We start from the raw sequence: 26,914 nt of genomic DNA on the forward strand, positions 1-26,914 counted from the left end.
CTCTCTGTCTGGAATGTTTTCTTCTCTCCTTTTCACTTCATACTCATCCTTCAAAATGCAGTGATCTTATTTTTCTAGGGCAGTCTTCCCTGAACTCTCTTTTATGTTAAATTAGATTATACTATCTTTTGGGGCCCTCTGAGTACCATGGAATTTATCACAGCTGAAACTTTACAAATATTTGTGTGGTTATTTGATTAATATTTAGTTTGTGAGCTCCTAAGGTAAATAACAGCTCAATGACAGTGACATCCAGCATATATGAATGCAACCAAGGAAAGGCAATTAATATCTTCACCAGTTTCACAATAAAACAGTATTTTAAAAATATTTCTTTTTTTTTTTTTTTTTTGAGACGGAGTTTTGCTGTTGTTGCCCAGGCTGGAGTGCAGTGGCGCGATCTTGACTCACTGCAAACTCCCCCTCCCGCTTTCAAGCGATTCTTCTGCCTCAGCCTCCCAAGTAGCTGGGGTTACAGGTGCCAGCCACCATGCCCAGCTAATTTTTTGTATTTTTAGTAGAGACAGGTTTTCACCATGTTGGCCAGGCTGGTCTTGAACTCTTGACCTCAGGTGATCTGCCTACCTCAGCCTCACAAAGTGCTGGGATTACAGGCTTGAGTCACCATGCCTGGCTTAAAGATGTTTCTTATCAAGATTAAGTTTATTACAAAAGATGTCTCATTATTAGAATGCTATAGAAATTCCTTCCTTTTTTTACTTATTTATTTATTTTTGAGACAGTCTCGCTTTGTCACCCAAGCTGGAGTGCGGTGTTGTGATCATGGCTCACTGCTGCCTCAACCTCCTGGCTGCAAGTGATCCACCCACCTCAGCCTTCCAAGTAGCTGGGAGTACAGGCATATGCCACCATGCCTAGCTAATATTTTAAATTTTTGTGGAGATGGCATCTTGCTATGTTGCTGAGGCTGGCCTTGAACTCCTGGGTTCATGCCATCCTCTCATCTTGGCCTTCCAAAGTGCTGGAATTACAGGTCTGAGCCACCATGCCTGGCACCTTTCTCCTTTTCAAATAAATCAACTAAAGTCATGAAAATCGAAGTCTTTTAGCAGTTAATTTCAGTGTCTTGTCTGCAACCCACACTTAGAATTATGTTTTACATAATGACCGTAAACCTGCGAATATGAATAAAAGTTTTATGAAAAACTTCCATCATACTATACAATCTCCCACTGTATTGTAATAAAGGATGCTGATCATAAACCCCCAAACTGATGTACCTTCCATCAATGGGTTGTGATGCAATGTTTGAAAAGTACTTAAAGTGTTTATCTAATTGGGATTCTTCTCTATTACAAAATAGATAACTGAAAATTTAAATTATCTACCCATTGATAGTGTTACATATGCTTTTTTATTTTCTTCTTTATAGTATTCTGTATTGTCTACTTACTAAAATTAAATATATTGCATTTGTACTCAGAAACTAAGTTTAGGGAAATAAAGTTCCTTTTCAGTTATTACTTTGTTACTGCTAAAATATATACTTTTTTGATATTCTAACAGTCTAAATCTTTGCTTTGCTTTTCACTAACTTCTCAGCTCACACTAGTCTCATCTCAACAAAGATTTCTCTTTTTTGAATCTTCATAAAATCCTCCAGCTTCCAATTTGTATCTGAAGAGCTATTACATAAAACTGATTTCCCAGTACTTGTTTGGCAAAGCCTCACTTATATCCAATATTTAGATACTCTGAAGACAAGTACTGTGGGTGTCATTCACAATTTAGATTATCAACTTCTGGCCAGGAAATTCACTTTATTGCAGTATGTATAGTGCAAAGTACTTTGTGTTGTTTGTGTTTAACATTGTTTGTTAGTATCATTATCAACATAGTAATGTTATAAATAGCATTGTCAGAAACTACAACAGTCACTAAGATAACAGCCTTAACACCAGTGGCATGTACAGTATGCCATTATATTAATTATCACAATGGATCTGACAGGCTGCTCCTAAGAATTCACAGTAGTGAGTAGTTTATGATTTTAAACTCAAGAGGAAAACTGGAGAATACATCAATCCTAATACACTGTTGTCTCTGTGAACCTCCCTCTTTTTCTCAGTTTTAAAAAATAAAGAGGAAAATGATAAACTATTACTGAACCACATTCATTAATGGAATTAAATAAGTTGTTAGCTCTGTAATAAAGAAATGTGACAAAGAGTACATAATTTTTTTGCTCTATAATTTGATCATTGTCATTTGGCTGGATACAAGTAGTTCATCAGAAGGAAATTGTGCGTACCCAACAAGGTAAAGCTGTGAAAGAAAAGAGAATGTTGCATATTTATATTTATATTTCTAAATATGATTCCATTGAGAAAATATTTTCCTCTGTTGGGGAAAGGAATGGCATGTCATCTCTAAGCTGGTTTTATAATTTGGTATGTTGTAGATTCTGTAGTCATGAACATTAGGAGTGGGATAAAAGTCACTATCACTGCAATGTCCTCCCAATCTAAATAGTAAAACTGAACTTAACAAAAGGATATTTTTCCCTGTGGTATAAATTAAAAGTTGATTGTAATTCATAAAATGAACTTCTAATACTGCTTCTGAAAGCTTTATGTATACATGGATAATTTACTTATTTATTCCTATAGCACTGGACAGAAATGAATACTCAAAGTGTCCTCAATGTTTAGGGGTTCCTACAGAGTATAAAGTTATCTGTTTATTTACAGTTTTAATTACTATAAAGGAAATTGTTTCGTGGCTTCTGCCTTTATTTTTAGTTTCTTAAGGAATTATTAGATAAACATAGATTTCAATTTTACCAACTATCTTCTTTGATGGTCTGCTATTTGGCTAGCTTCTATCAGAAATCTATACTACCAATGGCCTTTGAAAGCAGTGAGTATATGAAATTAAATGCTGGAAATAATTATGGTTAAGCAGCAGTCTGAAAATACATGACACATACTCATTTGTATAATAGGATAATTTCATTTTGCGTTCACTTTGGTGTCATAAGAGTTAAACTTGGTTAAATAAATGGTTTGTGTTTTAGGCTTTTATTTATAACTGTATCTTATGTTTTATTTATAACTGTATCTTATGTTTACTTATTTAAAAATATAACATATAACTGTATAGGATTTGTTGAAGATAACTTAGGGTTAATTCATATTATGGCTAGTTTGTATCACATGGTTATTTAGGCAAACTACCTTTATCTCAGATCTTAGGAACTAAGTAAAATCTGACATATTTAATGTTGTGCTTCCATTATGAAATAGTATTTAGATAATTAAATTAAAAAGCAAATTTAAGTTCTTCATCAAGTCAATATTCTAGAGTTGGATCCAGTTGATCTAACTTCAGCTGTTGTCTTTAGACAGCGTGGCTGTCAGTGGTCATGGTCTTAAATGGAATAAAAAGCAATTCCTAATAAGTTGAAATAAGTCATTCCTTTGAACCTGTTATAAACAAATAACAAGACTTTCATCAGATACTTTTCATAAAAATGAGCAACTTTGTTCCAATACTCTTGGAAAATTCCAAAGGAAATATGCACTCCGTCAGATAGAATGTACATTATAGATGGCTTTGCCAACCTTACTGGTTCACAGATGGCAAAGTGTTAATAGAAACTATCATCTCAAGTCAAACTGTAAGGCCTAGTATTTAGTGTTTTAACTCAAGAAATATTTTCAGACTTACTCTGTTATTTATTTTTACTTTTTTCTTAGGGAAACTCAGGAATCATAGTAGTGTTCCTCTTTGCTTTTAATGTGAAGGGAATTTGAGCCCTAATTATGTTCACAGGACTCTCCCAAGATGATAGAGCTGGGCTAAGAACTGAGGAGTCTCAATTTCCAGCTTTGACCTCTGTGCAGCATCTAATATTGGCATGCAACCTCTGGTCATATATTTGTTCCATTAAAGCACTATGCTAACTGATGGGATTCAAAAGATAAGATGAAAAGTGAAATTGTGATAAGTGAACCCGTGGGACAACATGCTGCATTTGTTTTTGGCTTAAATTCTTGACTGTAGGGGAAGGGGCAAAGGGACTCTGATATTTCTAATGACTGCTTACACCTTCTTATCTTTTAAAAACTGTGCTCTCTGCAGTATGTAATAGAGTCTGTTTTTAAAAGACATCTTCTCTTGAGAGAAAACACAGATTCTTCCCAAATCCTCCAAAACCCTTCTCTCAGTGTTTGGTCACTGCTATTAAATAAAAATTTTGTGCAGTCTAAAGAACCGGGCAGATGTTAAAAACCCTTGTGGTCCCCACCAGCTGGGGGGTTCCTCTGTTTGTTATTTCCCGGCTGCTTGGCACGTTCCTGTGACATAAAACAAACCCCCATTATAAAGGATTATATGATGAGTCAACAAGCATGTGAAAGATAGCAACCAAATGGTGACTCCCAATTACATGAAAAATTACTATAATCACCCCTGCTGTAACACCCGTCTGTTGGCAAAGTGGTTGATCCCCTTGAAAAGCATTAAAAAAAGGCCTAGTGTATTAAATAAAAATCTCAGTTCTGTGTGTAATCATAAAAATTAACACTGTCACTTTAAAAAAAAACTAATTAGTGTCCTAAAGGGAAACCTACTAGGCTATGTAAAGTAGCTATTATGAAAATGTTTAGCCTTTTGAATGTATTTCAGACAGCGTTTGTGTTGCCAGATTTGTCAGCCAAAAATTCACTAAGCAGATTTGTCAGGGGCTGAGGCCATAATCTGTAAAACAGACATTGGCATAGAGATTAAAGATCAAGAGAATTATATAGGTTTTGTTACCATATGCCAAGATTTCTTTTTAAAAGTAAGTTTATTTTGTGTGGGCTGTAACCAGAAGCAAGCACTATCTTTGTTTGGTATTTAAAACAGTAGCATTTCCTGCCGAGGAAGGAACAAAACAGTTTCATTCACACACTTGGGGTGCGGTGGTGGTGGTGGTGGGGCGGGGCGGGGAGGGTGTGTGTGTGCAAGATGCTTCTGACATTTCTTCTGTAGTTTCTTTCCTCTCTTTCTACAGTGTAAGCCTCATGTATGAGTCATGGATGAAAAATCAACGACAGAAGAGCCCTTGGGTCCACAGTCACACTTTTCCCGGGGACTGTAGGAGCTGCCTGGGACACCCTCTCCTTTCAGAAGATGTGTCCCTAACTTGGAGGGTGCCCATATTACAGTCAGGCTTCCCATGTCTAGCCACAGATGACATATTCATGTCTATCAGGCTCCTCTTAAAGAATTTTATGCTTAGAAACATCAGTGACCCAAAACGGGCTGGGTGCAGAACTTCTTTGGCAGCTTGGCCACATGGCTCTGAGGAAGTCATGAAATCACTTTGAACAATGCATTCCTTAAATAAGAATGTGAATTAGGTGGTCTCTCAGGACCCTTGGCCTCTAAAGTTGTATGATTCTGTGAAGGTCAGACCTTGCATAAATTCCAGTACAACCCTCTCAGATGCAGCAAGAAAAAGTAGTTTATATTGCCATAATATATGCTGCAAAATTTAATAGAATGATGGACCGCTTCCTGAAAACAGTTGAGCAAAAGCGTTATGCTACAAAAAACTATATATGATGGTTTCCTTAGAACTGTGGTCAGTATTGGGGCAGATTTGGGTAATTACAACAGCCAAACATAGTAATGACATTCTGAGACATTTATACTTTTGAGATGACAGTGGATAAAACTCATTGTAATACTTCATAATTTTAGTAATATTTTAACACAGAAGCCTAGTCCACAGATATCCTGGGACACACACCTATGCACACACACAATTTATTTACCTAGATGGAAAGGAAGTCACATATAATTTGTATGGGAACTTTCAAAGGCGCTTACACTAAAGCTTTTCTAAGCCACTTTTAAATTATATCTTCATTACACAAATGGAATATTGCTCAAAGAACCGCTGACTGAGAGAAGTGGCAAGCAGTCTTCCCAGACTTTATTCAGTATTCACATCCAATCACATGGGTAAACATAAATACATCACAATGCTTATTCAAACACTCACAAGTTATCTATAGAAGACAAACTACCATATATTCTCCGAAACAGATTTTTCTTCCATTTCCCTTTTTCATTTTGCATCTAGTGTATTGACTGAAATTCATCTGGTTTTTTGTTTTTTCTTTTCTTGAAGCAAATTATAGGCCCCTCCTGGCTCCACCTATAATTTTTCACATTTTCTTGAGACAAACTACAACACATTGACACGAAGTTACTGGCAAACAGAAATTCTAGAAAGTATCCAAAAGGGGTTAGGAGTCTGACACTTGGCCTCCTGACCTGAGGGGAAAGTAGATTTCCGTCGAGGCTGCAGTCTTGGGACTTCCGCCTTGAGGAGCCAATCTTGGCCCTCATGTTCCGGATAGCAGGAAAGGAAGGGATATACCTGCGAGTGGTTTTTGTGCTAGTACAGACACTAGGGGGTGTCCAAGGACCAAATGTATTCCTCCTTCCCTTCAGCCTTGTCTTAGGTCCAGCTAACTTAAAAAGTGCAGGAGCTAAGGGAAAATCCATCCAATTAATTCCTGTCTTGTGCCGAAATAAATAATGTGGGGTCAGTTTCATCATCAGGCCCCGATTCCCTTGGATCTCTGGCAGCCTTTGTAATCTCAGGGTTCAGAGCTGGCACCATCCCGTATTTAAGCTACAGGTGATGAGAATGAGGTGCTCTGTTATCAAATGCTTTTTACTTCTGTGTGTGTCAGAATTTACTTGTTGTTGAAAAGAGGTCACCAATTTTCCTTTTCTTTAGTGTTTCAGTTTAGGTCTGTTCACACTAAACTATGAAGGGCGGGGGGGAATTGTAAGAAGGCAGATTTCTGCCTTCTCATTCTTGTGGGGTCCCATTTGCTTTTTATTGTGGATTATTTGTTAATTATTACTTATTAGAAAACATTGGCCCTTGCTACTGTAGACATCTTCAGGCCTTTGGGCATGGGTCTCTTTATGAATACCTATTACTTCTTAATTATGATGGTTTAATAAGATACGTCTTTCATTTTCATCTCCTATCTCTCTTCCCCTATGATTCTTCTCCTTTTGCTATTGGTCCCTGAGGGCATGTTACTGGCTCCTTTTTCTTTATTGCTCCCATCTTCCCTTTGCCCCTCCTGGTAAATTAAAAAAATAAATAGAATGCATTTTAAGGATGACAACAGTAATAATAAAGCCAGGAATTGCTTTCCAGCTAAATGCACTGATTGGAAGTCCTATTGAAAATAGCATAAACCTAATTGAAGTAGTCAACCCCTCCCATATAGGTCATGCTATGCTCTATTAAAATGAAGGTAAAACAAAGCTTGTGACATTTCTGCATTTCCCAGACTGACTTTTCCTAAGACATATCGATAGTATTGACAATAGTATTGCATTGTGCTCCCTAGTGACCCAGCCTGTCATCTTGTGGTCCTGGATAATTCTTTCTTAATGAAACCTTATTGTGTCCTTTACCTATAACAATCAACAGAAAAATAATTATGTTTCAACATATAGAAATAAAAAATTTGAAATAAATCAAAATTGTAGCAATTAACTAACCAGTAACACTGATCATTTGGATAATGTGGATGTTCAGTACCCGCCAATTGTGGCCTGTTAAAGATGCAAATACGTTTTCTAAATTTATGAAAATACACAAGTTGCTAAAGAAATGTCTGATGTGAAATTATCAGGAGAGTTGGGATTATATATAAGGAGTTATTATTTGATTTCATTTTGAATAATTTAAGTAGTCTGTCTTCAAGAGTCATTATTTGGTCCTAAGCTTTATTACTGAAGTTTCTTATATTCCATGGAACTGACTATCAGATTTGATGGCAAAGCACTAGCAGCTGGGAAACTGCTCTTTCTCTCCCCTCTCATTTCCCAAACAATGTTTGCACTGATTAATACTATGCAACAAGACATGACGCAGAGATTGTGTTGGCATTGTGTTCTGATGACCCCACACATTGTGTGCGCTCTGTGGTTCCTTTTGCTGTTCATAGTTATATGGGTTTATCAGAAATTACATGTCAGGCTCCCGATGAGTGTAATTGTATACTGATTGTGTATAGTTTTTTAAACCTCATTATTAGCCTTGTATGCAAACCAAATAAAAGGAAAGTTTAAAAAAGGAGAAAGAAAATAGCCTCCACTGGACGTCATGTCAGAGCCCAGGTGTTTGAGCCTGGATGCAGGGGGGAAACAAAATGTTCTCTCAGGGACATCTGCAGCAGCCATGTGCTTGAAAAAGGCCCTAATGAGTGGAGGGGGAAGGAAAGAAGTGGTTAGGGCATGGGGGGAGAGCTCCTGGCTTTGCTTTCTTCTAACTCTGTTCTCCTTGCATGCACGATTCATTTAATAACAAGGCAGGGAGGACACTGAGGGATGCAGTGTGTGTGTCCTCGTTCATTTTAACTTTCATTAATTGGTGCCCCCATGGCAATTTCTCTGAGTTCTGACCCTCTACTTAGAATCACTCTTTTTTTTTTTTTTTTTTTTTTTTTTTGAGACGGAGTTTCGCTCTGTCGCCCAGGCTGGAGTGCAGTGGCGCGATCTCGACTCACTGCAAGCTCCGCCTCCCGGGTTCACGCCATTCTCCTGCCTCAGCCTCCCGTGTAGCTGGAACTACAGGCGCGCGCCACCATGCCCGGCTAAATTTTTGTATTTTTTTAGTAGAGACGGGGTTTCACCGTGTTAGCCAGGATGGTCTCGATCTCCTGACCTCGTGATCCGCCCGTCTCGGCCTCCCAAAGTGCTGGGATTACAGGCGTGAGCCACCGCGCCCGGCCGAATCACTCTTTTAATGGAAAAACAAAAACAAAAACACCTCAACTATGCAGCTACAAACTCGGGGAAAATAGGCACAGGAAGAGTGATGAAATGAACAGTGCTTTCTTTCTCTTCCCAGGGCTCTGCCCTTCCACCCATTTACACCTGAGCAATTTATTGGACATTTCCAAGACAGTTATTATCCAGGATGTGCATACTTTGGACTCACAAGCAGGAAGCTCAGCAGGGAATGTTGAAGTATTACATACCAAGGACGAGGGACATTAGAATTAGACTCATCTCTAATGTGGAAAGTACTTAGTTCTCTTTTAAAAACCTTTAATCAGTATACAGTGGTTCAGTACACAGATGTTAGCACCAGTGTGAGGGCTCTCTAATTGTAATTTAAGTTATCCCTGCCTTAGGGCTCCCAATCAAATTATTAGACTGTTACAGTGAATCTGTGGCTCTTGGTTGCACCTTGCAAGGGGGTGTTTTCTGGAATGACGAGAAACAGTGGTTTCTCCTGGGAAGCAAATGTACCATTATGGACTTATTAGGTCCTTGATTAGATCCACAGCTGATAAGTGAGTAGATATTTCAAGAGAAAATATTGCAGTTTATTTCAATCTGCCTTACTCAGCCCATTGGGTTGTGGAAAAGAAAGTAAATGAAATAGAACTAAAGGAAACGTACGTGCAATTTTTTAAAAAAGTGGTTGTAAAATTTATTAATCAATCCTTATACATTGCTACTAGCTCTTTATGCATTAAAGGTTAATGCTTTTAAAATGTGTCTGTTTGTTTGGTGTTTCTTCTCAATCCCTAAACTTGCTTTCTATTGAAAATTTTCTGACTGGACTGCTAAGACTCAAAGAGTTAAATATTCAGAGCGACAATTAATTAATTAAACGGTCCTAGAAAGTAACCTCTCAAGTTTCCTTCCTGAAATTCATGTTGATCTGATTTGCTTTAATAAGTGACTTGCTATTGAACTAGTTTTATGTACTTTAATTTGAAGATAATTACAATACTATAATTCACATTTCAGATGCACATTAACTTTTCAAAAGATATCAAGCTAGATACCTCTACCTAGCATTGTGTTTATTTTTTAGTATAGTGTAACCTGAAGAATAATTATCTGGTTGTAGTAATATCTTTTAAGTTCTTTCTATTACTACGCATTTATTTGATTTTAATTGTAGAACCATTGGTCATATTGAGTTCATTTCCTGTTCATGTTGATTTCATGAATCTCTCCATTAGTATTCAATTGCACAGTAATTAGTCATTAGTTCACCGTGATGTCTTCAAGCATGTGTACACTTACATTCTCATTTTCCACTCAGTTTCTACAGTCATATTTGAATTTTCTATTTCTTAAGGAAACGAAGGCCATGATAAGGAAGACAAAAATGCTAGATGATGACTTGATTAAACATTTTGCCAAAAGGCCCCTAGTCGAGGCATGCAAAAGCTGGATACATTGAAAATGAAGTAAGTGGCAGCTGCCTAGCCATAATACTGAAGTCATTGAGATGTCAAAGCCTGGGATCTGAAGCATTTGTGATCAGAGGCCAGATAGAAGCTATTTAGTGAAACTTTAGCATGATGTTTGACCTCTGTGTACACCTGGCTAATTCTGATTAGAGCATCTTCAATTTCTGAAGAAAGGTGAAATTCCCAACTTGTTACTAAGCTCCAATAATGTATTAAATGTTACAATTTTAACTAACTGTTCGGCTTTACAGATCTATTTTTCTTTATAAGAGAAAGTGTTTTTCAAAAAAAATGTTGTCAATGGATTAATTAATTCCAAATTTGCTGTGTTTTTAGTTCACATTTTATCTGAGGTATTCGTTTAGCTCCCACGAAAAGTAAATATGTCATCTGTCATAGTCTGTCACAAGCTCCCAATTTAAATCCATTAGAAAACTGTTCTTGCTTTTTATTTGAGCTGGCTTCACATTGTTGTCCTAATTAAATTGGAATCTTATATCATTTAAATGTTAGACTTGAGAATGAAATTATTTCTGTTGAGGTGATAATGGCAGTCCTCTTGGCAGAGCTCAAAAACACTGCTTTCAGACTAGTTGAGTCAATGTTCTAGTTGCCATACCTGCTTCATATAGGTTTCCATTTGCATTTCTTCCCTAAATGAAATGAGAGACCCCAAGTTGAATAGTCTCTTTCCAAATAGATCAGTTCTGCAATATCTATAACTGTGCCCTATTTTTGGTTTTTTTTTGTTAGTCCAATTAGTACTTTAATTTTTATAACTTGTTTAAACAAAAATACTTTGCACCGTAGTGTGTATAATGCTTCTCAGACTAACGTGCATGTGAATCTCTTGGGGACCCTGATAAAATGCAGAGTCTGGTTCAGCAGGTCTGGGGTGGCTCCAAGATTCTGCATTTCTCAGAAGCTCCCGAGGGAAGCTGGCGTGGCTGGTCCATATTCTACACTTTATGCAGCAAGGATGCAAAATGATTAGGAGGCAAATGAGATGAATCAGAATTGGTATCTTCTCACCTAGCTCTTTTTGAGAATTGAAAAATCACTCTCAAATTGTAGAAGTTATAACAGCAGTTGTTATTTTGATGTGAAACTTTGCTAAGATGTTGGTTTTTATTATGTGTTAAGCTTTAACATCTATGTTTGATCCCTTTAGAAGCAACTGGCTTTTGTAAGAGGAATATGTGTGGCTTCAAAGTCACCCTCCTGACTTACACATACTCATTGCAGCAGGCTTTTTCCATATATTAAACTTAATATTTAGAAGTTAGCAGCAGGTATATTATTTCTGCATCTTTTTTATAGGAAAAATTACCTTTAATTTTTTGTAAACGTCTAGGCTTAAGAAATTAATTTTCATCTCTAAATTTAACAGGGTGAATCCACAGAATAATACCCAATAAGTTAATGATAAGGGATGCCAATTTGAGAATCATAAGAAACTGCGGAAATTCCCAGTAATCAAGGTGGTTTAACATAAATGTCTGCCGAATGTGTGTCTGTGTTTTATCTGGAAAACTAAGTTAGATCAATGAAACAGTTTATTTCATTTCTCTGGGCATGAAGTCTTGGCTTTTGGATTCGCTTCTGCATATAGTCTCAACTGTAAATTGCTCTCAGAATTGAATTATAGTCTATAAAGTTTCCCAAATCTACTTGGAAAACTCTTTAAATTTTCTCTATGTTTCAGGAAGCCAATGTGAATAAGAATAATTATTACCCATTTGTAAAGTAGAACATTCTTGGCCCTCATCTTTTCCTGTCTCTCTTCCTCCCTGCCTCTCTTTCTCTCCTCATTTTAATTCTTCTTTTCCTTCTTCTCCTTTTCCTACTTCCCTGTTCCTACACTCAACTCTCCTCCCTTCTTTCTCCTTTGCTTTTTTATTATTTTTAATTTTTTAATTGTCAATATTCAATAAAACCTCTTTCTTTTTTCTTTTATGCATTTGTTAAATGAAAAATCAATTATATCAGTACAGGAAGATTAGAAAAAATTCCAAATTATGATCAGCCCATGAAACTTATTTTTCAAACTTTTTTTTTTTCTTATAGCATGAAACCAAAGGAAATGTTTTATAAATTTCAGATATACCCTGGGAAGTTGGTTCATATCCATGAATCTGTTTCTGGTTAGTTAATATGTAAACTTTGAAGGAAATACTTTAGGAAAAATTTGATGTAACGTTATTTCAATTTTTAGATACAATCATTTTAAAAATTTGAATACGACCCCAAACCCGATGAAATGGATTAGGGAAAGATAAAAAAACAAAACAATAACAAAATACTTGACTCATCTCAGACTTTAGAGCCCAAGAAGGCTTTAAGTAAATAAGGTGTAGTATGTTTTATGTAAAGGTTGGTGGTATGACAGAAACAAGGTGTCCCAAAAGATAGCAAAGATATCAAACAGACCTTGATGGAGACATCCATCTGCCTCTTCCTACCTTTGCTACCTGGACAATTATTTATTGTTTCTGAGCCTAAGCTTTTTTAACTATTAAGTGAGATAATTACTAACTCCAAGTGTCCATTTGAATTAAGTAAAATAATATAATCCTCCCAAGCATGAATATTAACACATATTTTTTGATTTCTTGTCTCTGGAAATATAGCAGAAAACAAAATAGAAAAATATTTCTCATATAGCTTGCATTCTAATAAGAGATGAGAGAAAATAAGCAAATAGCAAATGTAATATATGCTACGGAAAAAAGCCAAAAAAAAAAAAGGGGAATAGGGGATGCTAAGGTGCCAGGTGGAGAGATGGTAGTTTTAAGTAAGGTCATCAGAAAAGATAGCATTTGAACAAAAGTCTCACTGGGAAGAGTGTTCAAGGCAGGGAAACAGCAAGTGCAAGGGGCCCGAGGCAGAGGTGTGCTTGGCATATGTGAGGAAATGCACAAAGGCCTGGATGGCCAAAGTGGAATAAGTGGGTAGGAGACCAGAGGAAGAAAAAGTCAGGGAGCTGCCTGTGAGGCCAGATCATGCTGGACCTTGTGGGTTATTTTAAGGACTCTGGTTTTTATCTTAAAATGATGGAAACCTGTTGGAGGTTTTGAGTAAGAGAATAACAAGATCTAATTCTGTTTTCAAAAGGGGAACTCCCTCTGCAGTTTGGTGTCAGCGGAGGTGTGAGAAGTAGTCAGATTCTGCAGGATTTGCTGTTGGATTGGATGTGGAGTGTGAGAAAAGAGATGAGTCAAGGACTTAGATTTTTTTTGGCCCGAGAAACTGGAAAAAAGGAGTTATTATTCAATCTGTGGCAGAAACAGGTGTGGGGAGGCAGGAAGATCCAAGTTGAGTTAACCTGTGTTAAAATTTGAGAAGCCTATAGGATATTCCAGTGAAGCTATGAGCTAGAAGTTCAGCAAATGTGTTGGTTTGGGGCTCAGTGGAGAGGTGCAGGCTGAATATGGAAAACCGTGAGAAGTCACTGATACCTTTTTTTTTTTTTGAGACTGAGTCTTGCTCTATCACCCAGGCTGGAGTGCAGTTGCATGATCTCAGCTCACTGCAACCTCCTCATCCCGGGTTCAAGTGATTCTCGTGCCTCAGGCTCCCGAGTAGCTGGGATTTCAGGTGCCTGCCATCACACCCGACTAATTTTTGTGTTTTTAGTAGTGACAGGGTTTTACCATGTTGGCCAGGCTGGTCTGGAACTCCTGACCTCAAGTAATTAGCCTCGCCTTGGCCTCCCAAAGTGCTGGGATTACAGGCTTTGAAAAGATATGTTTCCAGGGCGATGTGGGAAGGAGAGCACTTGTTACACAGTAGGTGTTTAACAAACACGAGTTGTCCTACTTTTCTCTTTTTCTTTCACCTTCTGACTGACAGTCTCATGCCATTTTTTTATAGATAGCTAGATATAAGTAGGGTCCAGATAGTAAATTATTTGTTACGTGCATGTGTGTTAGTCTGTTCTCACGCTGCTAAAAAAGACATACCCGAGACTGGGTAATTTATAAGGAAAAAAAGGTTTAATGAACTCGTAGTTCCACGTGGCTGGGGAGGCCTTACAATCATGGCTAAAGGTGAAGGAGGAGCAAGGGCACATCTTACATGGTGGCAGGCAAGAGCTTGAGCAGGGGATCTGCCCTTTATAAAACCTTCAGATCTCATGAGACTTATTCACTATCACATGAACAGCATGGGAAAAACTTGCCCCTATGATTCAAATACCTCCCACTGGGTCCTGTGGAAATTATGAGAGCTACAATTCAAGATGATATTTGGGTGGGGACACAGTCAAACCATATTACCATGTGATTATGTGTTTACTTCATTTCTTCTAAAGACTTGTCATTCTGTATCTATTGGCTGTAGTCTCTGTTTCTTGATTTAAAATAGTTTCGGAGCATACCTTCACTTGAACTAAGCCATATCTTATATTTTCTGTCCTCATGAGTATACCGTAATTCTTGTCTTCACAAGTGTTTATTAATAGACCATCTGGATTGCAGGGTGCTATTATGTAAGCAAGTTAAGCAAACTTGATGGACCTTTAGCTCTTTGCCCTTGAAGAACATTTAACCTCATGCTAATAGGCTCATAACCAACAGGCTATTTAGATGCTTAAATAAACACTGAAAAAAATGCACACAGTTTACAAAAAAAGTCTAATATTGACAGGTGCAAGCGATATTTTAAGATTTTTTAAAATGTGTTGATCAGCATAGCGAATGATAGAATATTAGACCATCTGGAGATTCTTTACCTATTGAATTATTAGAAATGTAATAATATTCAGTTTTGCTTCTCTCTGTTGACATTGTTTTCCCATGTGGCATCCATGTTGGCCCATGTGAGTGGGTTTGTAGCATGCATATGTTTTCATTTTACTTATTGATTTCAGAGCTTTTGTGTTCAGCATGTCTCTATATCCATCCTTTACATGTGGCCCACTCACATTTCCCCAGTTCAGAAGGAGCACAAAGCTCAGGGTGTCATGATTATTTGCTAATGAAGCATTTAGCCTGGAAATTTGCCCTCAGGAAAACAGAGCACACTGATTGGAATCATGTTTTTGATGAAACCTTTTGTTGAGTGAAACTAATTTCTCTTTAATGAACATCTATATGTATTGGTTTATTTATTCTACAAGTGTTAATTTTCCTGTCCTGTAGTTACGTAGAGAGTGCTGCTTGAAAACACAATATATAGTCATGCATAGTAATCATTTATTACTTTATAAAACACTTATGGTCCTAGAAGAAACTCCTTTGTTAAAAGAATCAGATTCTTTTAACAAAATAGTGTAAGGTTATATATTACATTAGATAGTGGGATTATATTATCTTTGTCAATTTTTATTTAAAACTTTAAAAGTGATTTTAGGGCATCTTCTTTTCTGATACAAATCAAATTAATTATATCTAGAATTCTATTTCTAATCAAAGGAAGCTTCTCAGAAAAACTAAAACTGCTCACCTTGCCTTATGACCTCATTCTAGTCAGGATAGCCTGATGGTTGTAACAAAAAGTCTAAATTCACCACGGGATAACACAACATGGCAAAGTTTTGTTACTCCTTGATGTAGTCCAATTATAATAGAATGCGGGGAGGGGTGCTTCCCTTCTCTGTCATTTAGGGACCCACATTCTTTCCACCCAGTGGTCTATCCCACCCTGTCTCCCGAAGACTCAGTGTTCTTGGCGGGATCCTTTCTATCCTGACAGTGAGGATAGACAACAAGGAAATAGCATGGTGGACTGGTAAGAGTTTTTAGATGCCAGGCCTAGAAATAGCACCTTTCATTTCTGTATATGCAGATACCTATCTGCTTGGCTAGAATTCAGCTATGTGGCTCTATCTAACGGCAGGAGTAGCCCAGAAAGGTGGTTTAGTTGGGTGCCAAAAAGAGGTGAATACAGATATGTCTGAGTCTTAGCAATCTGCCACAGACCCTATTAAATTAGAAACCAGAAACACAGTGGTGGACCTCTCCCCATTCTGCTATTTTCTCTTAATGATACTGCTTCCTCCACCTCTGTTCTCTTCTGCTATTTACCAAATTATATAAACTGTGAAATGGGAAGGAATTGCACACTAACCTAAAACAAAGAAAATAAAATTATTTTTATTTAGGAAAATATAACATATATTGGTCTCTTAACATTTGCTTTGAAGATTAATCTCAGTACAGCAGGTCCTTGAATAACATTTTGTTCAACATTATTTCGTTATAATGTTGATGAGAAAAAAAAAAATGGATTCCTATCCGGGACCACTGTCTGTGTGGAGTTGCATGTTCTCCCCTTGCCTGTGAGGGTTTTCTCCAGGTGCTTGTTTCCTCCACATCTGAAAGCTGTGCACATGTGGAGAATGGATGTGTCTAAGTGGTCCTGATGTGAGCGAGTGTGGGTGTGTATGTGAGTGCGCCCTGCCGTGGGATGGCATCCTGGCCAGTGCTGGTTCCTGCCACGCCCCCTGAGCTGCTGTGATGGGCCCTGGCCATCTGTGACTCTGAACTGGAATAAGCAGATAAATCATTATCTTACTTGTTTTTATTTTTTCTTAAATGTTTGTAGAACTCACATTTCTTTCCATGTTTAATATTAGAAGTGTTTTGGGGATTTATTTAGAAGTTAGCTGATGTTTTGTGACCAGAAATATGCTGTAGGAACTTAACTCTTGTTTTTTATCAATTAGCCTGTGGTAAAGTTGGTTTCATTATATATCATTTTACTTGAAGTTGATGTTTCCAAGAACCTATCCATAAAGTTATGTGAGGACTTACTGTATTTAGCTTGTGTTTCCCTGTATCACAGGCTGACATCTATTAAAAATAAGCTCCAGCGTACCATGCAGCCTTGTGGAATTCTGAGAAGGACATTCTGGTATAAAGTTCTATTGTGTTCCTTAGTGAAAATAGACCTGGAATTAAAATTGATTGAACAGCTACTATGTAGGTACCCTGGTAAGCCCTTTACAAATATTTATCTTATTTACTCCTCAAAACAACTTCACAACTCTGTGATTTGGGGATTATCCCTTATGTGGAAGGAGAGGAAACTGCTTTGACTAAAATACAGATCTCTTTGGCTATAAAACCTGTGCACTTGCCACAACAAGGGTGTTCATTGAATGATCCTCTCCTCCCCACCCTCCATCTCCAGGTTTCTTCAGTGGTTTAAGGCCCTATGCAAAGTCCGTATTTGACAATGTAGACTGAAGTAATTGGTTACCAAAACCATCAAATCTACTAAGTATAGACAGGCTGAGCCTGTAGTCAAACCAGTGTACTCAAACCAGGGATTAGAAAAACAGCTGAAAAACAGATTGGGAAGTCCTATAAACATAGAAAAAGATCACAGATATTCTGCTTATTTTTAACTAATTACCTTAAAAGATAATTAAGAAAAATGAAGTTAGTGCTGTTTTCCTAAATATTGGGCTCTTTTTCCAATTGATTTTTTTCTTCTCTTTTCTTCTCTTTCTCTCTGACTTATGTTCTCTATCACTGCTGACAAAAGAAACAAAAAGAAAAAAGGAAATAATGGAAAAGATTACTTTTTCCTTTCTCATGGACTCCAAATAAAATGGACATGGTATTAACTCCTATAATGATTTGCTCTTTGCTTCCATCTGCATATCTGATCTAATTATACTAATAAAAGAAGAAGGCAAAGGGAGATATTATACTAACAAGTGAAGTTTTTAACTTGCACAAGAAACATTTATTCCCTCTGCTCTCCACTCCCCTTTAAACAGCTATTTTGCATCCCTTGATGCACAGCAGGGGGAGTGGCATTTGCCACCCCATGGCAAAATGGATCTGCATGCCTCTGTACATAAAACTGGTCCATGTGTGATTTAGCTTTGCGTTGTATTGTGTTTTTTATACTAATATAATATTGTTCTAGTGCTTGCCCCTGATTAAAGAAATACATAAATAAATAATTTATAATTTAATTAATAAGGTATAATATGCAAAGCACAGTAATTTCAAACAGCTTGTAATGTCTCTAATGTACTTTCAATTTTTTATTTTACATAAGGGCTATATTCATTATGTGGTTATGATAAACATACTAATGAATTTTATTACAGGAACAAATTTAAACATGTAAATGAGATCAAATAGTATTAAAATGCAAACGATGGTGAAACTTATTACAAACTAACCTTGCCAACACACATGGAATGATGTTATTTTAAAACTTTGCAAGTTGTATCCCTTAAACAAAGACAATGCCTTTTACAATGTCCCTGAACATAAGAATTTGTGAACTGCATGCTTTATTCTCATATGAACTCCCCAACCAAAAAAAAAAAAAAAAAGTTAACTAGAATCCAGGGTTTGCATGTAACTTTGGATGACAATTAAAATCCCTTTTCTTGTTCCAGTGAACAGTAATCTATGCATAATTACATTCAAATGAGATATTAGCATTTTTTGTGCTTACTCTTTGTTAATTGCAGAGTTCACTCACCATGGTGATGCTTTTGATGGAATCAGGCAACCTTATTGACCTGATGCCGTAAGGCGTGTTGGGAAATTCTGCTGTATTCTTCATTTTTTTTTTTATTTTGGCATTTTGAGGAGTCCTGCTGCTTTTATTACATTCCTGACACTTTTGTTAATAAATCATTGCAAAGTTAATGAAAATTGCATTGAGGCATATCCAAAATAATTGTGTCCTTTGTCATGCTAATAAATTGAAAGATGTTGATCCAATGGGCGAATGCATGCCCATTATGGAGAAGTTTGTGATATGGTTGCCTGTTGCATTTACACTTTTTCCTTGGCATATCATTCCATGTAAAATGTGAAAGAGGAAAACCTCAATATGTTTTATTTCATATTTTATGCAATGAGCCTTTAATTAAGTCAGCAAATCGGCAAATTATATCTACATGGAAAGATAGAAGTATTTGTATTATGATTTATGAAAGGTTGTTAATATCAATAGGCATCAGCAACAGTCTAATGTCAGACTCATGAAAACATAAAAACCATGTTTAACTGACCTTTCTCTTATGCCTAGGAATTTTGCGCCACATTTATATATGACCCACTTGATTTAAAAATCACAGTAATAACCGACCATTCATTTCCCAAGGCTCCTCCTATACTAATTTAGGAAGAAAGTGAAGAAATGTGACTTTTATTTAAAAAAATGGTCTTTTTGGCAAAGCATTAGGTCTTTTCATTCACTAAGCCTTAAGTGTGTAAGGGTGCAAGTGAGTGTGTTTGAGGGACGAAAACATAGTCACACTCATACACACTGTGAAGCAGGTTTGACTGTTCTAGGTGAGGAAGAATATTCAGTTCAGAAAAATTTAAACTCATATTAGATTGCATATATATATATATATATATATATATATGTATGTATGTGTTTTTTTTAATTTATCTCAAGGAAGAACTCCAAGTAATTGTTGTCTTGGGGAGTTCTTAATTTATGCACTAGACCATCATGCTGATTTTAGGTAGGTATTTATTCTGCTATTCAATCAAAAAGCATAGTTTCCATAACAACTGCCACATCAGATGAAACGTACAGCTTGGCATTTGAAATACAGGACTTCTTAGGAGATATGCTTCCTGACATATTGTGTTGAACTTGTGTTCCTTTCATTCTCTTTTAAGCTAGCAAGATCTGTGTTTCTATAAAGGACCATCGCAGTTTTGCATAATTATTACAATCCATCTGCACATTTCCAGGATTTATATTAAAGTAATTAAAGCCATTTTGTATTAGTGGGTGCTGTGTGGAAGCGGCTTGGATGCAGGATTCTAAAAGTTCCCACTTGCCTGCTTGCTGTGCTGTAATTTGGAGAACAGAATGTTCCGTAAATGAGGTTTGGGAATACTACATTTTTTTTCTTTCTTTTCTTTGCAAAGTTACTTTTTTTCCTCCAGTGGAAAATGGAATAAAAGGTTCACCTAGGGACTGGAATTAATGTAGTCCTTCTGCCTAGGGTTAAAAAAGAGCAAAATCACAGCTAGCAACATTGTGCAAACCCTAATATATTTAGCTTTTTCTATGAAGAAATAATAAGCCTGTGTTTCTAAGGCAACTTTCTTCCAAGGAGCAGCAAGCAATTTAATTTATATTCTCATTTTCCCCAGCTGTATTTGTTCAAGATAAATGAGGGCTAATATTATTAACCCCATTTTGTGGATGGGATGATTGAGGCAGACAGATAATGTTGTAGAGAGCAGATAATAAGGAAGATAATGTTGTACTGGGCAGTGCGGAGACGCACCTCGGCAGGAGTAATAACTAATACCTATTATATCAGACCCACTGAAAGAACTGAAAGTGCGATACTGCATTTGCTGAGAAAAATCGTGTAAGTTCCATATACTTTCAAATGGCTAGTTTGGGATAGACTTACCACTTCTGGCTTAGGCATGAATCCTTGGCATCTCTGTTGAGGTTTGCAAGGCTGTTTGATTCTTAGCATTCAGGATCTGCTTCACAGGAATCTGCGATTCTTCTGGGTAGGCCACAGGAAAGCTCCGAGGAGACCATAGTATCCAATTAAGAAGGCAGCATTCTTTTATATATATATATATAAAATATATATATAATATATATAATATATAATATATAAAAATATATAATGTATATAATATATATATAAAATATATAATGTATATAATATATATAAAATATAATATATAATATATAATATGAAAATATATAATATATAAAATATATATAATATATAATATATTATATAATATATAATATATAATATATAATTAATATATATAATATATATAATATATAATATATATAATATATAATATATAAATATAATATATATAATATATATATTTTTATTATACTTTAAGTTCTAGGGTACATGTGCACAACGTGCAGATTTGTTACATATGTATACATATACATGTTGGTGTGCTGCACCCATTAACTCGTCATTTATATTAGGTATACCTCCTAATGCTATCCCTCCCCACTCCTCCAACCCCACAACAGGCCCTGGTGTGTGATGTTCCCCTTCCTGTGTCCAAGGGTTCTCATTGTTCAATTCCCACCTATGAGTGAGAACATGCGGTGTTTGGTTTTTTGTCCTTGCGATAGTTTGCTGAGAATGATGGTTTCCAGCTTCATCCATGTCGCTACAAAGGACATGAACTCATCCTTTTTTATGGCTGCATAGTATTCCATGGTGTATATGTGCCACATTTTCTTTATCCAGTATATCATTGTTGGACATTGGGGTTGGTTCCAAGTCTTTGCTCTTGTGAATAGTGCTGCAGTAAACATACGTGTGCATGTTTCTTTATAGCGGCATGATTTATAATCCTTTGGGTATATACCTAGTAATGGGATGGCCGGGTCAAATGATATTTCTAGTTCTAGATCCCTGAGGAATCGCCACACTGTCCTCCACAATGGTTGAACTAGTTTACAGTCCCACCAACAGTGTAAAAGTGTTCCTATTTCTCCACATCCTCTCCAGCACCTGTTGTTTCCTGACTTTTTAATGATCGCCATTCTGACTGGTGTGAGATAGTATCTCATTGTGGTTTTGATTTGCATTTCTCTGATGGCCAGTGATGATGAGCATTTTTTCATGTGTCTTTTGGCTGCATAAATGTCTTCTTTTGAGAAGTGTCTGTTCATATCCTTCACCCACTTTTTGATGGGGTTGTTTTTTTCTTGTAAATTTGTTTGAGTTAATTGTAGATTGTGGATATTAGCCCTTTGTCAGATGAGTAGATTGCAAAAATTTTCTCCTATTCTGTAGGTTGCCTGTTCACTCTGATGGTAGTTTCTTTTGCTGTGCAGAAGCTCTTTAGTTTAATTAGATCCCATTTGTCAATTTTGGCTTTTGTTGCCATTGCTTTTGGTGTTTTAGACGTGAAGTCCTTGCCCATGCCTATGTCCTGAATGTTATTGCCCAGGTTTTCTTCTAGGGGTTTTATGGTTTTAGGTCTAACTTTTAAGTCTTTAATCCAACTTGAATTAATTTTTGTGTAAGGTGTAAGGAAGGGATCCAGTTTCAGCTTTCTACATATGGCTAGCCTGTTTTCCCAGCACCATTTGTTGAATAGGGAATCCTTTCCCCATTTCTTGTTTTTGTCAGGTTTGTCACAGATCAGATAGTTGTAGATGTGTGGTATTATTTCTGAGGGCTCTGTTCTGTTCCATTGGTCTATATTTCTGTTTTGGTACCAGTACCATGCTGTTTTGGTTACTGTAGGAAGGCAGCATTCTTAACAAAAAAGTTAATGCACATTTAAAAATAAATTAAGTATACTAAAACTGTTTCCCAACTGGAGAAAATGATTTTTTCTTCTTAGAGCTTACTGTTAGTATTAAAACTTCCTTTACTGTGAGAGAAGCGAATGAGTAATGCTGAGCACTTTCTTTCCTGAGCCACTTATCTGTCAGACCATTGTTGTCATGCCCCCTAATAAATGATTATTAACTGATCTTTCTATGATCCCATCATACACCTATAAGGCTAGATGATGATGAAAATTCTTTGTCAGAAACAGTAACATCCACAGAATTGATTAGATGTGGAATCCTGGCTTCTGCTGCAACAGTGGAACTGAGATATTAGGGTGTCCTGAAGCACAAGGTTAAAAGTACCTGGTCATGGTGTTGATAAAGGTTAAGCATACAGACCTTGAAATCAGACAGAACTGCTTAATGTACCATTTACCTGCTATATGTTTTGAATCAGTTACTTAATAGTGCTGAGACTTGTCTCCTCTGAAAAAAAGAGTAATAAGAACTTGCTCATATTTGGGAGGCTGAGGCAGGTGGATCCCTTGAGGCCAGGAGTTTGAGACCAGCTTTGGCAACATGGCAAAACCCTGTCTCTACAAAAAATACAAAAATAGCCAGTCATGGTGGTGCACGCCTGTAGTCCCAGCTTCTCGGGAGGCTGAAATGGGAGATCACTTGAGCATAGGAGGTCGAGGCTGCAGTGAGCTGTGATTGAGCCACTGCACTCCAGCCTGGGTAACAGAGTGAGACCCTGTCTCAAAAAAAGAAAAAAAGAAGAAAAAAAGAACTTGCTCATGGGGTTGCTATAAGTGTTTTGTGAAACAATATTTGGAAAATGCTAGCACATTGCCTGACACATAGCAAAGACTCAAGAAATGATAGCTTTTAGGTTTATCATCATTCATACATTTTAGAACCTACCAATTTGAATTTTATCCGGCTTGCTATTTTTTTTTCCTTTTTTACTTGGTCTATCTCTTGAAGGTTTTCATTGTTGTTGGTGCTGGTGTTTAACAAGAAATAATTAACTTATTTAGTTAGTAAAGTAGGCAAAATAAGACAGAACTCAGGTTTAACAATACCATGACTGTTAGCTATATGATCGTGGAAGGTGAGAAACCTTGCCTGCATTTTTGTTTTCTACTCAGATCACATTCATTAAACTTCTGCAACTAAGAAGGGATAGTGAAGGCGATTAGAAGGAGGAATAGTGTAAGATCTCATAGTGAGATTCAAGAAAGTAAACTTTGGCTGGGCATGATAGTTCACACCTGTAACTCCAGCACTTTGGGAAGCCAAACGAGAGAATGATTGAGCCCAGGAGTTCAAGACCAGCCTGGGCAATGTAGTGAGACCCCATCTCTACAAAAAATAAAAACAAAAAAATAGCTGGGTATGGTGGTACATGCCTGTGGTCCCAGCTACTCAGAAGGTTGAGGGAGGAGAATTGCTTGAGTCTGGGAGGCTGAGCATGAAGTGAGCTGAGATAGTGTCACTGCACCCTAGCCTGGGTGATAGAATGAGAATTTGTCTCAAAATACCAAAAACAAAGAAAGTTAACTTCTCCACAGACTCTAGAACCTAACCTGGAGAAAGTCCTTAAAGTTTGAAAGAAGAAATTTAGAGGAAGGAGATTTGAGATACAGTTTGAAGAGTACCTGCTGAAATTATATAACTTTCCACTATAGTATATTTTGAAACAAATTTAAAGAAGCTTTAAACTCATTTCATGGGTTTTAGATCCACATTAAGTAACCACCAAAAATGGTCAGGATTAGGGGTCATCCTAAATGTGGTGAAGGGTCAGTGGAATGGGGTCTGAAGGCATGAGGATAAGAACAAGGAGGGGCATTTGATGCATAAAATGCTTCTGGTACCTTGCCTGGTCCCAGAAGCAGAATGCCAGGCTGACTAGACCATCGTCAGACCCAGTATGTATTACATTTCTGATATTCTGAACAGATTGTCTATTGGATTATAACCAGGTAATTCTTCCAAAATAATTTAGACAGAAGCAGATATACACACAGTCCTAGTGAACATTACCCAAAATAACTTTATCTATCCATGGTCTCTAAAGGCAAAATGCAATACAAATGAAAGGTTTGCAGAAGTTTTGATTGGGAGTGGAGGAACTCTTGCTGCATTAATGTGTGGGAATAAAAAGAGTTCCAAATCTAGCAGTGCCTATTTTCTGTTCTGGAAAATATAGAAAATAACTTGCCTTGCACACACCTCCTCTTCTCTCTCTCTCTTTTTTTAATTATATAGGTTTTGCTCATCCCAAACTGCCACTTTGGAATGACTGACTTGTCTGATACTTCTGTGCTTCAGTACATGTTTTATTGCCTGCAGTCTACTTTATGATGTGTTGGTGAGATTGGCCCTTTTTTTGCACACAAAATCATCAAAGTCCAAATTATTTTTGGACAAATAGAACCACCAAATAACAAAAATTTCAATCTATGAGTTTTAAAAATATAAATGAATACTGTCTACTCACTTAGTAATTTTCATTCAAATTTTTTTTTCAAGCATATGTGTTTTCGACTGAGGTTATTGAGGTCTTAGCTCTATAAAGGACCAGTGTTAGATGTGGGACATATTAAAGAGATGAACCATACTTAGCATAGTAGAAAATATTATAGAATTGCAGTTAGAAGACCTGGTTTGTAATCTCTTCTACTTCCAGCTTTCAAATTCACCCTCTGCAAGCTATTTAGCATTTTTAGCCCTCAGTTTCTTCATTTGGGAAAATGTAGAAATATTATCTGAGGTGTTCACCGTTTCATAATTTGTTCATAATTTATCATAAAATGCTCAAAATTTTTAATTCTGTGGAGTTTTATTGTTTTTACTGTTCATTATTCTTTTAAAAAATTGATCTTATCGAACAAAACCTCTTTTGGGTTCTACAACTTTAAATCAATGCAGCAGGCAGCAATGGAAACAAATCTCTGATAGAAATTCAAAAAGAAAGAAAAACTGATTAGAACACCACGCCTTCTGGTATTCATAGCAACACTTACATCATGTTGTTCCTCAGCTCAAATAACCTTTGCTGGCCCTTCTCACATGTATAGGTCTTAGCCTTCACCTCCAACCTTGTGTCTCCTCTCTTCTGTTGCCCTTCTGGGACACTATCTATGTGCCCCAGACCAGCTGAACAGCTTGCCATTTTCTGAATATTTCATGGGCTTTTTTTTTTTTGGCTTCCCCTTTGTTGCTGGTGAATTGTGTACTTCCATCTTGACTCACTTTAAATTTTTTATAATACTCATCCTTCCTAATTCTCTTGCCACATTTTTTGTTTTTTGAAGCCAATGTCGCTTATCTACCCTGGCACTTGGAACAGTGTGACACAGACAATCAACAAATATTGCTGGAAAATGACTAGGAATCCAGAAAGCATCCAGTGATTTCAGATCTATAGAACATGTTGTTCTACAAGCCAGTGAAGTATCTTAGGTTTGATGGCGTTTGTGGAAGATAGATATTAATGTTCTTCTGGAATTCTTTGCTCTGTATTTGGAGGACATCAGCAGATGGCCATCTCTCTTATCTTGAATTGGGCCACTCTCAACAACTCTGATGTGGAAGCTAGAGGGTCCAAATTTTACATTTTTCTTTTAATTTTCTGACTTATCAAGACATAAGAATTTCCTGGAGGTTTTTCTACTAGTTCATACATTATCATATTCAAGATATGTCATGATAAGCTAAGACCACTACAGCCCAGGAAGGCAAAATTTTGATGTCTTGTTCATGGATAACAGAAATCTGAAATCCTAAACGGAAGGGATTAATTCAGAGTATTGCTCAATGAATGGTGAGCAAATGTCTGTGTTAGCGTATCCATCATTAATGAAGAGCATTTGATTAGCTTGGAAAAGGCCAGGTTTGCTATGACCTTCCCCAGAAAGAAGAACAAGAGGGTGGACAAATGCAAGTACTGGATCTGAGTGTTTCATAAATTGTTTATTTCCAGTATACAAGTACTATTTAGAGTGGTTTTTCTTACCACTGGGCTTCAATACTAGCAGTGGTGTAGCCTGTTGGATTCCTTACATACTTCTTGGATACTTCATTGTAAAAGGGGTACAAGATGCTTTTTAATAATTCTTTAAACTTACCACGTATCTTAATATTGGGTGAAGCAAGGTTACTGGGAAACATTATTATTATTAATTAGAATATGTGTTTGTATTTAGTCAAGCATTGGGAGCATGCTCTTTTTCATATTCTATTTAGTTAGCTTCAAGGAGTAATGATGCTTCTCAGCATCTGAATCTCAGAGAGCTGGAAGACTGGCAACATATATGTCATTATGTCCCACAGTGTCCATTTCAAATACAGAATCTTCTTAAGACCTGGAGTGAGAGCTGTGTTAATTGCTTACACAAATATTGGCTAAC

General features: G+C 36.7%; 1 long non-coding RNA gene across 1 annotated transcript in view, besides 1 other annotated feature; it reads left to right on the forward strand.

The window, feature by feature from the left end:
* Nucleotides 1-26,914, forward strand: part of LINC01122 (long intergenic non-protein coding RNA 1122) — a 543,014-nt gene that overhangs the window by 44,250 nt on the left and 471,850 nt on the right. The window lies entirely within an intron of this gene.
* Nucleotides 7,592-8,470: an enhancer, noted in NCBI's record as "VISTA enhancer hs1071". NCBI's record gives its function as "enhancer in: ear[4/10]" and the evidence as "EXISTENCE:transgenic organism evidence [ECO:0001131][PMID:17130149]".

The sequence above is a fragment of the Homo sapiens genome, chromosome 2, assembly GCF_000001405.40.
Source record: "Homo sapiens chromosome 2, GRCh38.p14 Primary Assembly".
Classification (NCBI taxonomy): Eukaryota; Metazoa; Chordata; class Mammalia; order Primates; family Hominidae; genus Homo; species Homo sapiens.